Source organism: Homo sapiens, chromosome 5 (genome assembly GCF_000001405.40).
Source record: "Homo sapiens chromosome 5, GRCh38.p14 Primary Assembly".
Classification (NCBI taxonomy): Eukaryota; Metazoa; Chordata; class Mammalia; order Primates; family Hominidae; genus Homo; species Homo sapiens.
The window spans coordinates 139,951,916-139,967,196 of record NC_000005.10 but is presented as its reverse complement, the minus strand read 5'-3'; the positions used below and the strand labels follow the sequence as shown (position 1 = coordinate 139,967,196).

At 50.6% G+C, this 15,281-nt stretch overlaps 1 protein-coding gene across 7 annotated transcripts in view, besides 1 other annotated feature; it reads left to right on the top strand.

Annotated features, from left to right (window-relative positions):
- The window catches only part of NRG2 (neuregulin 2), a 196,519-nt gene that overhangs the window by 76,103 nt on the left and 105,135 nt on the right, over positions 1-15,281 (top strand). The window lies entirely within an intron of this gene.
- Positions 5,912-6,061: a silencer, noted in NCBI's record as "silent region_16437". NCBI's record gives its function as "represses an Ori minimal core promoter by ATAC-STARR-seq in GM12878 lymphoblastoid cells {active_cell/tissue: GM12878}" and the evidence as "EXISTENCE:reporter gene assay evidence [ECO:0000049][PMID:35858748]".

The following is a 15,281-nucleotide window of genomic DNA, read 5'->3' as shown; positions in this document are numbered from 1 at the left end:
CTTGAATCCCATGATCCCTGGCCCCAGCACCGGCCATTGCCTCCTCTTCCTTTCCAGCCACTCCCGTTGACCCTATCCCCGTGGGCTATGCAGTGTGGAGACTCCTCACATGTGATTCCCACATGACTGGCATCTCAGGTCTCCTGCAATCCCCTGGGTGTTATATCTCGGAGCAAGGGGCAAATAAGTTCTATTGATGTGGAGCCACTGGGGGAGGCTGGGGGCCTGCATGACCCCTGTTTCCTCCCAGGCCTTTTTTTGAGCAGTTCCTGTAAGCTCCTTCCCATCCATTAGAGATAGGAGAAGCCTCACTAGCCTTCTGCATGAGCAGGTATGCTCTGAGCTTGCTTTTCTGTGCACTTAGGGAAGCTTCTAAATCACAAGCTTAGATTCTTTTACCTTTCTGTTTGTAGCCCATCAGCAGCTCACCACACAGTTTCCCAGGCCCTCCAGGTCCTCCTGCTTGCATTTCCAACTCTCTCTCTCAGCCTCTCCTCATCACCCCTGACCATGCCAAACTTCCCTTTTCTCCTTTTTTAAGTCGCATATGCTCTCATTTCTAAACTCTTGCATATACTAACCTCTTTTTGTGAAATCTTCTTTTCTTCCCTCTTTCCTCCTCCAGTCTTTGCTGCTAGTTCACACCACCCCTAAGAGCTCATCTTAGAATGTCCCTCCTCTGGGAAAGCTTCCCAGCTCCCAAGAGTAGGGTGGGTCCTCTGATCTTACCTCTGATGGTGCTTGTCAGACTGAATTGTAGTCATTTGTTTCTTAATATCCCTTCCTTACCAAAGTCATACCTCCGTAAGGGAAGGGGCCAGTGGTTTTGTTTATTTGTTTCGTGGAGGGATCCTCACATTCCAGTGCAGTACCTGTCGCGTAAGTGCTCAGATTAGACTTGTACAATGTGGTATGAATGCATGGGTGGGAGAGCTGGTGGGCCTTCCTTGAAGAACTTCCTGCCATCTCTGATCTGGATTCTCTGGGTGTTTAGGTGCATCACTCCTGTGTTTCGTTGGCAATGGAGCATAGTGCACCGAGGTTCTCTGGACAGAGACCATTCATTGGTTCAGTAAATATTACTGAGTCCCTGCTATGTGCCAGGCACCACACTGACACTGGGGATACCATAGTAAATAAGCGAGACATGGTCCCTAAACTCATGGGGCTTATAGCCTAGTGGAGGAAACAAATAATAAGTAAGCAAATATAAAAAAAAAATTAGAAATTGTGAAAAGTCCTAGGAAGAAAATGAATAGGCTGATATAGGGCAATATGAGAGACTGGTAGGAGGGACCTTGCCCACAATCCCCTCTCCCCCTGGCTAGCACACCTCTCCCTCTGCAAAGGCTGTGAGCCCCACATCCATACCTCTGCTGGCTTTACCTCACAGTCACATCCTGACCTTGGCAAGAGTTGTACTAGTGAGCACTCCTGACAGCTCTTCCTTTTAGCACTGTCTGCAATTGGGGTGACGGTCTCTACCAGACTGGGAAGGAGATATATCTTGGCAGAAAGTATAGCCCTGTGCTTTGCTGCTCATAGGAAGGCCTTCAGGAGGGCCAGGATTCATCAGCAGAAGTGTCAGAGTCCCTCTGTCCAGGGGCCTGATTGGGTGAATATTCAGGCCCTGTTATACATTGGAGCATCAGCAGCACTGCTGTGTGGTGGCATGAAAGCCACGGCCTCCTGCTGGCAGCTGGGGCTGCTGCTGCCATCCCTGTTCAGGAGGACTGCGTCGCTCTGCTGTTTGGCCTGGTCTGGGGCTGGGGAATGCCTTGCCTCAAGCTCTGTTGGCAATTGTGCTGGTTTGGGCTGCTTTCTCTGAGCAGCTGTTTGCCTTCTTGGAAAACCTGAGGCTTTGGTTTGGGAGGAGTTGAGAGAGTCGGGGTGTCCCTCTGGGGTACTGTCCCCTGACCCACCCTGGAACATAGTGAGCTGTCTGGCTCCACCCATCTCCCCCACGTAGTTCCACTCTGGACCATTCACGCAGGCTCTTAGAAGTCTTAGAGCATGTGACAACTGTGCCTAGGGTGGGAGGAGGTTGCTGTCGTGGAGCCAGGTGGGAAGCTGGAGAGCTAGCCTGACCATGAGGGGTTAACAAGGTGGTGGTAGGGTTCTTGCCCTGGGGCAGTGCTGATGTGTCTACTGCCACCAACAAAAAATCCTAGTGCCCGTGCATCAAGACACCTTTGTTTCCCCTTAAGCTGGGAGAGTGAAAGCCAGCCCCAGGTTAGAGGCTCTTAGTGGCCTGAGGCCAAAAACTCCACTCTCCTCTCCAGGGTGACACAGTGGCATCTCCTGACAGTCAGACAAAAACCATCTCTCCTGGCATCGCTTGGCCACTGATGGCTCAGGGCTAGATAGGTATGGTTTGAGTGAGGGTCATGGGGAAAGTTGGGAAGGGCCCTCCCTCTCTCTGGACTTGATAGGACCCAACCAATTCAGTAACTTCAGGGGTTAGGTGGAGCAAGAAGCCAAGAAGTAGAGGCCCTGTCAGCTTTGAGAACCTCTCTGACGGAGGAGTCTAACTCCAGAATCCTTTGTTCTTTGAGCCTGTCTGCAAATGCCTGTGTCCAGAGATCTGGGACACACTCCCCAAGCATGCATGTGACAATGTTTGTGCCTAGTAGAAAGGGCATGTTTATGGCAATGTTTGGGAACATGTGATTGGGTGCATGTGCTCATGATTAGCTTCTTAGCTTTAGGGGGTTTTGGGTCCCTTGAGGTTTTGGGTACCTCTGAGAATAAGACTGGCCTGGGATGTGTGGTTATTGACAGGCTGTGATTCTAGAATGGGCATCCGTGTGTGTGTGTGTGTGTGTGTGTGTGTGTGTGTATCTGTATTTCTGTGTATGACTAACCATACATTCTCTCTGGAGCTAGTTCTTTAGGCCGGAAAGGAGATACATAAAGTCCCAAGACAGTAGGGTAGACATTGGAGGGCCAGGCTGGGAATTCGAGTTATTACCATTTTCCAGCACCTTTCTTTGATCTGCTTTTCTTCCCATCAATTCTTTGTTCTCTCACCCCAGCCTTGGCTCTAAAGGAAGAGAAGACCCTAAAAAGGTTTTGTGACCAATGGTCCTGCCAAATTTGGGGGCCAGGCATGGCTGGGCTTGTCCAAGAGTCAGGAAATTGAGGAACTGGGCAGCACAGAGAGAGATGTTACAGTTCATGGAACAGAGCCCCCTTTTTTTTCTCTTGTTCTTTTTTCCTGGCTTGGAAATAATAGGTCTTCAATCTGAGATTAGAAGAAAAGGAAAAAACCAGAAAGGAACCAGTTTGAACAAAGACAAGTTACTGGATGTGAACAACCCCAACTCTTGTGATTGAGTATTCTTACCTAGATGAGGTTCTGCATGCTGGGGTGGGGCTTGGGGTTAGACAGGGAGCAGTGAGGACATTCAAGGCCACCAGGCCTAGAAAGAGGAAAGACAGCAAGAGTGGGCAGGAAGGTGGACTCTAGAGTCAGGCAGACGAGAGTCTAAGCCTGCCTCTTTCTTTACTGGCCAGACTTCACCTCTCCAAGTCTCAGTTTCCTCTTCTATAACCTACAGGGTGCTTGTGAAGACCAAATAAGAAAATGCATATAAAGTGTTTGGCATGGTGGCTGGCACATGGTAAGAATAAATGGTACCTATATGTATAGGGCTCAGTTCTTTCCTTATATGAGGATCATGGGTGTGAAGATGAGGGAGGAATCTCAGGGAGATATGTCTTAGCTGTCTGCAGAAGAAACCCTCTTTATCAAAAGACTCCAGCACAGATGCCAACCTGGTTGAGATAGGGACGGGTTTTCCCCCAGGGCCTGATGCCTATACTTTATTTGAACGTGCAAATACATGTGTATGTGAGTGTGTGTCAGGATAGATAAGGAGGGGAGATATTCATCCTTTTAAAGGAAGGATATGGCCTAAGGTTATCTCCAGATCACCGTGGATGGTGGTTATAAATATATCATGTCAGGTTGTTCAGTGAATTTAGGGATGTTGAGGACTTCTATTTGAGATCTGCTTTATGGAGGTCAAAGTGTTGTGCTTGTCTGGAAACCATTTGTCTCTTTGTTCATTTATTCACTATTTATTCATTCCTTTAATTCACTAGTATATGTTCCATGTCAATCATGGGAGGCTTAGGCTAGTAGAGAAGAAACCTGTTGAGATTGAACCTGGAGAAGAGAAACCTAACCTGGAGAAGGTCAATCTTGAAAAATGACCTTCAGGTCTAGAGAGGGCTTTTATATGGCTCCATATTGCCTATGAACCAGAGAAGTTATATGTTTAACTGCAACATGGTTAGGCATAGTCAGAGGCCTGATTTGTTGGTATCTGGTCTGCCTGGGGCAAGAGGCAGAGTAGGCAACCTCTTGAGGACCCCTCCAGGCCCAGGCATCTAGAATATTCCACTGGCTTGGTTGCTGACTTACTGCAGGACCTTGAGCATATGAGTAAGCACTAATAAGCCTCAGTTTTCCTCTCTGTTAAATAGTGATGAGAATGTTTTCTTTCAGTTCCTCCCTGCCTTCTGGGGCTTGGGAAGGATGAAGAAGCCCCCTGTGTAACTTCACAGGACTTCCTGTGAAGACGGTCTGAGCAAATGCCCTGGCTGCCCCTGCACTCCTACCCTGAGCACAGGATTCCCAAAGTGCAGTCTGGGGCCACTCTTCATTTACCCCAGCCTTGTAAACCTTGTCAGACCTGATTCTCCTAGAGATGCCAAACCATTTCCCTCTTCCACTTCTGCCTTGTACTATTCCCCCTGCCTAGAATGTTCTCCTCAGTCTTCTCCAAGCAAATCTTGTTCTGTCCCGATAGTTTTGAGCCAAGCTGGCTCTGATCACCCTTCTCCCACTGGAGGTTTGTCTTTCTCTCTTCATCCTCCATAGTTTGTCTCCAACACAGCCTCCCTCTTTCTATGCTCTCTTTAGCTATCCCCCGTTCTGGCACTCGGTGTCTGCCATGTGATCTGCTCCAGGGGCTTTGCAGCATTGGTAGAAGGAGGACTGTCAGGGGCTGAACTTGATGAGCAGGGGGAGCTTGAGGGAAAGAGGAGAGGGGAAAATATGCTGGGGCAGTCAAGGGCTAGTTCCTGGGGCCAGGGAGACAGATAGAGTAGAAGAGGCAATCAGGTGACCACTGTGTGTGCCTCCTGCCACCCGGCTATCTAAATCCCAATGACCAGCTCTCTGTGCTGGTCAGGAAAGCAAGAGCCTCAGTGGAGAGGAGACACCTTGGGAGGCTGGGGGGCATTTGCATGGGGCTGCCTCGGCCCCCACATTATACTGGGATTGAGGCTGGATGAGTTTGCATGTCCCCAAGCTAATGCCAAGTCAGGACAGTGGCTATTGCAGACGATTCCTGAAACTGGATTGAGCTGCCAAGGAGAGACCTCTTCCTTTAGGAGCCTGAGGATGGCCTGATAGCAGCTGCTTTTGCTTTGCCAGCCCTGCTTTCACCTCCAGCTCTCAGCAGGGAGCAGGGGGCCAACCACAATCTAGAGACTGAGCTGGTGACACATAGTGGGAATGGCCCTGTTCTCTGGTCAGCCTCCCATGAGAAGTTCCCCAGGAGGAGGGAGGGACCTGCAGCATCTGACCAGATGTGGAGGTCACAGAAGGAGTCCAGCCCCATGCTGATCAGCCCCTACGGGGTTGCTGTCGCTGGGATGGTGGGAGAGGGAGGGCCTGGCCTTGAAGAATGTTTTATTCTTCTGGCTGCAGCAGCCAAAGACCATGGCTCCCACATGTTTCTAAACAAGCTTGATTGTCCTCTAGAGTGATGTGTCACATGCAGGGCTGGAGCCTGAGTCCTGGCAGGAGGGGAGGAGGGGGGCAGGGATGGGGGTGAGGGGCACTGAAATTCTCAGAGAGACAGGACAGTAGAGGCTCAAGTCAGGGAGAGAAGGCCCTGCCGAAACCTAGATCATGGCAGATGCACTTATGTGCAGTAGCAGGGCAGGCAAGGGCACCGGCTGGGGCTCCCCCTTCTCCTCAGACCACAGACCCAATCAACCCTCCCGAAACCCCCACTACCAAGGCAAGAACCGTAAACAGCCTGAGTCAGAGCTGGGCGGCAGCGTACAAGCGTGTTGGTTCTGTCATTAGCTGTAATAGCAGCATCTCACCTGGCTGCCTATGCCTTTCATCCAAGCCTCTCAAAGAACTTGACAGACAGCAAAGGGTTCTATTATCTTCATATTACTAGTGGAGAAATGAAGGCCCCAACGAGCCTGGCAGCTTCTTCAGAGTTCATGGAGGAGCTGGCAGGAGGCTGGGAATGGGCAGGTCTCCAGGTCTTGGGCTTTTTGGCCTCTCCTCCTGCATCCGTGACTATGCTGACATGTGCTAGAAGGTGGTGGGGTTAACTTGTCCCCTTGAACTGATGTTGGGAGGTTCTGTCCAACATAGGAAGTAGGTTCTGAGTTCTTAGGCATCTACCTGTTTATTCTTTCTTCCCTAAGTTGTCAATGTTGAGCAATTAACAACACTAATAATTGCTACAACTTACATGGCGTTTACTGTGAGCCAGAGGATGCAGGTGCTATATTACTTCCATTTACAGATGAGGAAACTGAATCACAGATAAGTTAAATAACTTTCAGGTCATATATCCAGTAAGTAATAGAGTTAGGATTCAGGCCCAAAAGTCTGATGCCATAATTTTTTTTGTTTGTTTGTTTTTTGAGATGGAGTCTCGCTGTTGCCCAGGCTGGAGTCCAGTGGCGCAACCTTGGCTCACTGCAGCCTCCACCTCCTGGGTTTCAGCGATTCTCCTGCCTCAGCCTCCCGAGTAGCTGGGACTACGGGCATGTGCCACTGTGCCCAGCTAATTTTTATATTTTTAGTAGAAACTGGGTTTCACCACGTTGGCTGGGCTGGTCTCGAACTCCCGACCTCAGGTGACCTGCCCGCCTCGACCTCCCAAACTGCTAGGATTACAGGCATGAGCCACTGGGCCTGGCCCGATGCCATAATTTTAACCATAATATTATATTACCATTCTGGACCATACCTACATCAGACTCCTTGTGTCAAAGCAGAACCCCAACCTCAGCTCTGAAGAGAGGAAGGCTCCAGTCTTCCCTTTCTTCCTCATTTAGTGGCAATTGATGTGTGGAATGAATTCCCAGGAACCTTGCCCTGGATCTTGGTTATAGGGATGTTGTGGAGGAGATTCCTATTTGACAAAGTTTCTGATCTATCAGAGCCCAGGACCCAGGGATAGAGGTGCAGCATCACCAACCCCTACTCACCTTTTCCTCAATGCCAGTTGTCTAAGAACTGGGGAGAGAAGGGTGTCCCAGGCTACTTGGTAGTGGCTAGCACAGTGAGTATGCTCTTTGACAGGACGCTGCCACACTCATCTTCCAAGACAGGGAAATCGGCTGGGCGCGGTGGCTCACGCCTGTAATCCCAACACTTTAGGAGGCTGAGGTGGGCAGATCATCTGAGGTCAGGTGTTTGAGACCAGCCTGGCCAATGTGGCGAAACCCTGTCTCTACTAAAAATCCAAAAAAAAAAGCCAGGCGCGGTGGCCCATGCCTGTAATCCCAGCACTTTGGGAGGCCGAGGCGGGTGGATGATCTGAGGTCGGGAGTTCGAGACCAGCCTGACCAACGTGGTGAAACCCAGTTTCTACTAAAAATACAAAATTAGCTGGGCGTGGTGGCGCATGCCTTTAATCCCAGCTACTCAGGAGGCTGAGGCAGGAGAATCGCTTGAACCTAGGAGGCAGAGGTTGTGGTGAGCCAAGATCACGCCATTGCACTCCAGCCTGGGCGGGAAGAATAAAACTCCATCTCAAAAAACAAACAAACAAACAAACAAAATTAGCCAGGTGTGGTGGCACATGTCTGTAGTCCCAGCTACTCGGGAGGCTGAGGCAGGAGAATCGCTTGAGACTGGGAGGCGGAGGTTGCAGTGAGCTGAGATCGTGCCATTGCACTCCAGCCTGGGCGACAGAGCAAGACTCCGTATCAAAGAAAAACAAAAACAAACAAACAAACAAACAAAACACAAGGAAGTCTTATTCTCTGTCTCAAGGCCAACACCCTCTCCTGTACAATGCTCACCTTCTCAGTGGTGGCCATATCAAAGCACAGCCACAGATGGCTACCTATTCTGGCTTCTCAGAGAGGTCCACAGGCCCTGCCCCAGTCTGCCCTGCAGCATTTTTGGGGTTGGAGGTTATAGCCTGGTAAAAGCCACACTGGGAATCTGATTGTGCCAAAGCTTGCTGTGGGGCCTGGGGCAAGTCACTCATGCCACCAATGGCCCTCGGTTTCCTCATCTGTGGAATGAGGAAGTTAATCCAGTGCTGAGGTCTCCCCAAACACTCTGTTCTGTACTTGGCTCCTGGTTCTTGGATGTCTAGAAGGTAAAGTCTCTTGAGAGATGCCTGGGTGAATCACAGACGTGAGTGGTGGACAGGGGTGGCAGGAAATAGTGGGAAATTGTGCTAAGCAAGGTCGCCGGCCATTTCTATTACATGCTTCCAGTTCAACTATTTGTGACTTTCTGAAAAGTTTATGGTTTGGGGATTTTTTTTATTTGGTCATTTTTTCCATATTTGGTCATGGCCTAGAGCAGTGATTTTTGGAAAGATAGAGTAAAAAACCCCTTCAGCTGTTTGTAAGCATTGCAAACACCCACAAAAAATATCCTTTTTCCATTTAGAAGAAATAACAACATAGTTATGTTTTCCTTTTCAGCTCAAATAACTCCCAAACAACTCCAAAGACTTCAAACTTGGCTGGTAATTAATCCTTAACAAAGGGGACTGGACAGTATGTGCTCTGCAAAGTTTGGAAAAGAGAGATTTCAAATCAAAAAGTATTGATGCTTGAAAAAGCTCGCCATTTTTTCCTGTTTGCTGGCCCTAGCTCCCACACAGCAGCCCATTCCCAGGAAACCCAGAGTCTCAAGCTATAGCTCATGTGAGAATGAACTGAGAGCAAGGTGAACACATCTTCTGCTTGAAGATACTGGTTGTTTTCTTTCCTACGCTAGTGGTCTTTGCCTATTTCACAGGCTGTAAGACTGAGGCTGAGCAAAGTTGTAGTCAGGCCTTGCATTGCTTTGTAAGATGAATTGAATGGGCTTGTGAAAGCTTATATTTGGGGTCCTTGTCCCAGGAAACTTCCAGGAGGTACCTTCCAGTCCTAGCCAACGTGTCCAGGGAAGTCACTGGTTCTGGAGTCTAGGACCCACCAGAGTGAGAATCCAGAAGTGCTGGCCCTTGCAGAATGAAGCAATGATGGCTTAAGCGCCCATAGGAAGTGGAAAGGCTCTCCTCTGGGTGAGCAAGGAACCTTCTCCTTATCAGACCACATCCTCAGAGACCAGTGCTTGGGGCTTCTCTTCCACCATCTACCCACTCTCAAATCTCTCTTGGCTTCTTCTTTTGGAGACTTTTATCTTGCTTACTCCAGGAGGAATGCTAGTGCTAACATGGAAGAGAAATTGCCATCTTTCAATTGCTCTTCCTCGATCTGATACCTGCACGTCACCACCTGCAGCTCTTGACAGTGAGTGCCTCACCCCAGGAAAGAGGCTCCCCCTACTCTGCATATCAGGCAGAGATTGGACCTGGTGGGTTGGCAGGTGGAACAGAGTGGGGAAGAGGTGGCAGTGTGGAAAGAACACTGGACTCCCAGTGCCTGAGATCTAGTCTACTAGACCCATGGCTGACTTCCTCCCAGCCTCTGCAGACCTCTCCTTCTCTCCTTCCCAGCTGCCTTACCTGTATAGCAAGTGGGTGGGGCTACATCCTCTCTGGGGCCCTTTTCAGGGCAAGGGATCTGACTTGGCCTCTTGTTCTCAGGATTCTTTATATGAATGTGCACACACACACACACACACACACACACACACACACACACACACACAGAGATTCTTGAGTGGGGGGATGGTGACCAGCTAGTTCCCATCTCTACTGAAGAAGAGAATGCATAGATTCTGGGGTGGACCAAAGCTGGACATGAGAAGCTACTTGGCCAACCATGAGAGTCTTGCAGCCCAAAGCTATGTAACCAAGAGAGGTGTGCAGGCAGGAGCATGGGCAGAAGGATCTTGAGAGGGCCTGGCCAGCTGGGAGAGTTGAGGATGGACTCTGAACTTGCCTACCAGCTCATGCCAGCATATCATTTTCTCACATCTGGTTCCACATCTGGAATCAGCCAGATGTTCCTTTCAAAGTGCTGATGAGCCCTGCCCTGATTGCCTCAGGGGGAAAGCCATTTGGTGACACTGTCCTTCAGGCCCTGTCATCTTCTCCAGATGGTAGCCCATTTTTCAGCTTTGTGTCCTTGGGCACACCCACTGTACCACGAAGCTGGGGAGGGGTTGAGGGCAGCTGCTTGGGGTGAGGCCTGGCCTCAGACCCTTTGTCGGGCACTGAAACCTACAGTGCCTTTCCATTTCTTTCTGAGCAGCCGTTGGCTTCCTGGAATTTCCACATCCTGCCTGTTGACATTGGGACACTAGCTGCCCTGCTGATTTAGCCTTTCCATCTAATGGCTACGTGGCCATTGCTTCCACCTTATGACCTTTGCCTGGTGAATCCGTCTCCATCCCTGGGTCCCAGTTCTGGCCCATTCAGACTATCATGTCCTCTTCACATCTTCAGAAAGGAAGGGATGAGAACCAACCACCCCAAGCCTTCGAGAAGCCTGCGCTGGGGACCCTGGAGGATGCTGGAGAGGCAACAGCTTGATCCTTCCCTCAAGGACCTTAGAGTCTTGGGGCTAGGAAGGGTCATCTGAGAGCCCTTAGAGAGAAGTCAAAGTCATGTACTTCATGTAGGTAGGGCCTGGAATTGCAAAAGTCAGAGAGGGGGGAGATTACTGTGAGTTGGGGGTCAGGGAAGGTTTCTGGGGGAGGTGCTAGCTGGTCAGGACAGGGACAGCTCGGAGCCTCCTGACCTGACTATCCAGGTGCCCATATTGTGCAGTGTGTTGGGAAAGGTGACTGGATGCCACGGATTGTTGACAGTGATTCCTACAAGCTAGGGAGGGAGAAATGGACAGAGGGAGCACATGTGAATGGGGTGGGGGAGTTGCTGACCTGAGGCACACATTTGTTTATTTTCTTTCTTGGTTTGAGCTTCCTTCACCAGCCTCCAGAGCCTGCCCCACAGGGGGTCCCACCTTCCTCTGCCTGTCTCAGCATCTGCCTGCTCCTATGGAGAGAGCTCACCTTTGCAGGGCTTTCACCTACATTCTCATGTGTGGTAGGCAGGTAGACAGATGGCCCGATGCTCACCTTACAGAGGAAGAAGCTGAGGGTGAGGACGTTTCAGTGGCTTATCTCAGGCTCCATGGGGCTGATTCTGGCCTGGGACTCCCCCTGGAGTGCAGAGCATGCTCCAGGCTCCTGTTACACTTCATGGCCCTCCCACTTTGTCACGTTTCTCCTCCTCCTCCCTCAACTCACTGGGCTTGCATGGAAGTCCTGCTCTGTGCAGTCCATGGTCTGCCCTCAAAAGAGCACCCAATAGATATCTACTTACTGATATCCCACCTCACTGATAAAAGAGACGTGGGAAGACACTGGGTTCTAATCTCCTGAGGAGACAAGTCTGGCAGCCATGAGAGAGTTAACAACAGTCCAAGGCACATGTTAAGGGCAGAGTGAGCACCACAGCCCCTCCCATGATTACCCACTGCCTACAGGACTGGGCCCCAGTGTCCTAGCCCAGTTTATGTAGCCTTTCACCTTCTGGCTGCTGCCAAACCTCTCTAGCCTCAGCTTTCACTATTCCTCCCCACAGTCCATTCTTAACCTTCCTGAGCTCATTGTAGTTTCCATATGCATCACCCTCCCTCTCCCCTCTGGGCCTCTGCCGCTGCTGCTCCTCCTCTCTGCAACACCTCTCCCTCCCTCCACTCTGCTAACTCCTATTTGGCTTTCAGGTCCCCACTTGTCCGTCACCTCCTCTGAGAAGCCCTCCTGTCCCTCAATACTGACCCTGCCCCTGTTCCTTGATGGCGTTGAAGTGTACGTACCCTAAGCTCAGCACTTGCACACCCTGTAACTGCCTTTTACTGTTTGACTTTCTCAAGACTGTAAGCTCTTCAAGGGCCGGGGATAACCCTCTCATTCTCCATTTTCTCCATGCTGTCTAGCATGATACCTAGCATAGCAGAGGATGCCTGACAAATATTGTTTAAACATACATGAATTGAGTTGGCAAATGCAAGAAGAAGGGTGATGACAATCGTGAGTGGGCAGGTCAGGGACACAGTGCCCTACAGAGAAGGTAGAACTTGGGGTCAGACTGGAAGGATCATGAATAGAACAATAATAACAACACCAATAGCTAATGTTTACTGTGTGCCAGGCTCTGTTCCAAGCATTTTCTAATTTATCCTTACAAAAACCCTACGATGTAGGCATTATTACTCTCCCAATTTCACAGGTGAGTGGAATGTAAAAGGGGAATAACAATGATTTGATAGAGACAAAAAGGCATTTTAGGTTAAGAAAAGTGCATGAGCAAAGAGAGAGGAACTTGGCGGGATACGCGCAGGGGCCTCTGCGGAGAGTCGCTGGGGTGGAGGGCTTGGCCTGGAGAGCCATGGGAGTGAGGATTGATGACGTCCAGGGTTGCTAAATCACAGAGAACCTTTAAGTTGGGGCTTAGAAGTTTATTTATCTTGACTAAGGCGTTGAGAAGCCATTGCCACTTCCTCAGCAGGAGAGTGGGTGGTGGGATGAATTTGGCCATGGTGTGATGGATGAATTGGAAGGGAGAAAACAGGCAGGACAGCCAGGAGAGTGCTGGCACAATTTCCCTCCCTTCCTGCCCCTCCAGTCATTTCATTCTTCCTTTTCATCATTGTCCACTATAGGTGCTGACATGGGCGACCTTGGGACCTGGGGCTAGACAGCCGCTGCAGGTCTCCTGGGGCCCCAGGCTGCTCCTCTCTGGCTTGGCTGCTGCTGGCTGCTCAGGGCTGTGACCGTGACCTGGGTTGGGCTGGATTTCTCCTCCACGGTCACTTTTGCTAATGAGAAGCAGTTGTCTTGCCACGATCGTGCAGGAGGCAAGGGGAGAGAACCGCCAGCCTGGCCTCATGCTTGCTCTGTGTCCCCCACCCCTCCCTGGGTCTCTTTTTTTCAGCTTCCAGCCACCCCCACACCCTGCCCCTTGCCTCCCAGTGAGCAGGCTACCTGCCCTCAACTCTGGCCCACTTTTTCAGGTTCTCTTCGGGTTTCCAGTGCAGAGAAACTGCCAGGGATGGGGGAGGGGTTTCATGAGGGCCTGTAAATCCTGCGTTGGGGGACCCTTCACTGCTTCCTCCTGCTGTATTCACCTCTTTCTACATTTTCTCCCTATTGTCAGATGGGGGGCTTGGATCACCTGAGCTCTGAGGTGCTTCTGGTTCTCATGTGGTTTTTTGCTTTCAGTCTTGCTTACTCTGTCTTTCCTTCTCCCTCTCAGCATCTCCCGGGCTGGGGCCCTCCTACGATGAACAGAATATGTCCTTTCCTCTTATCATCATCTGGTCAAATCCTTCTTATCTTTTGAGACCCCATAGCCTCCAGGAAGCCTGTTGTGACCACTGTACCTTGTCAGTGTTCCAGAAAACGCTGGCTGGGCCCTAGTGCAGTGCCCCAGGTAGTCAGACCACCTAGCCCTGATAGCCTTGCGTTGAGTCTTTGTGGGTCATCTGGCTGGTTCTCTCAGGATGAGAGCGGTGGGAAGGGGTTGGAGGATGGAGTGCAGTGAGGATAGGAGTGGGGACAAGAGGCGTAGATAGATATTCTAGTGCCTTCCCTGCCAGAAGCATCCAGAATGCCTGGCTTCATGAAGGCAGAGGAGAGGGGCCTAGAGTGTTTCTCTGGCTGACCTGTTTCTTCCAGCTCTTGCCAGACTCAGGACCCCCTTCCCCAGGTCCGTTAACCCTTCAGCCCCAGTCACAAAGGCCCTTTTTGGCTATGTCCACGGCTTTGAGCTTTCAGTAGCTCTCTCTGCAGGGCAGGAGACCCACCTCCCAGCTCAACCCCCTCTCTTCACAAGCACAAGGGCGGCCACAGCCCATGGTTAAGTGCTAGTCCATACTCCCTCCCCACGTCACCCCCAATCCCAGAAAGTGTGTCAGAGGCCCACTGACAATTCTTGAGGCCTTGCTCTTTCTTCTTCTCTCTTTATTGAGGCCTCTTTTTTATGGCAATGTTGTTGATAGTGCACATATTCCAGAGTAATATGTTCAGGATTAGGCCGCACAATGAGGTTATGACTTCCTCCTGTGCAACCCCCACCCAGGGGAGCTTGCCCTCCATCTGGCCGGCGCACATCTGGCTCAGGCTCACAGCTGGCCAGATGTTGCCTCCCTCTGAACCCAGGCCTGCAGCCTCCTCTGCTAGAGGCTGGAGCTGCACACATACACACGTGCGCACATACACGCATGCACACACACGCACACACACACGCACCGCCCCACTCCATTTGGAGCATTGAAGCACTGAGGTCATCTGACTCTTCAAGGGGGAGGAGGGGAGAGCTCGGCCTTAGTGCAATTATTCCTCCTCCACCGTGGTAGGGCGAGCAGGCTGTGGGGACACATCTGCGGAGGTATGTAAATATCAGGTTCCCTGCTTCCAGCCCAGACAGGCTAGTGGGAAGGACCCACTTGAAACCAGGTTATGAATCTGGAGCCTTCTCCCACCCCATCCAGGGGCCAGCTGCTCTTAGCAGATTCCTTGTGCACTGGTTTTGGGGTGCTCTGGGGGTCTAAGCCACGGAAGCTCTCCTGTCTCAGGCTGAGGCCGCCCTCTGCACCTTGTTTCTGCCCACCCACCTGTTTCCCACCCTTGCCTCATTTTCCTCTTTTCCTCTTCCCACCTTCAGTAGTTCATGGATTGTGTAGTTTAAAGGACAAAAGGTACAGAGGCTGGGCCCTGGACCCTCAAATAATTGAGACGTGATCTGCCAAATTTGTTTCCCCATTGGTGTTGGCAGAGGCTGGGCAGAGGAGCAGGGTAGGAAAAGGAAACTGCATTTATTGGGTGCCAACTATGTGTCAGGCACTGAGCAAGATGCTTTAAATATATTATATTGGTTAATCCCTGCAACCATTCTGCAAAGTAGATATTATTATCTTTATTTTACACACAAGGAAAGTATGTCTCAGAAAGGTTAAATCCCTTGCCCATGGTCACATGGCTAGGAAGAGGCAGAGCCAGAATTCCAAAGCTTCACTACAAACTAAATGCCCTTATGCCATGCTTTCTTCCTGGCGATGTAGTTGGTAAATGCCTCTACCCATCTGTAAGT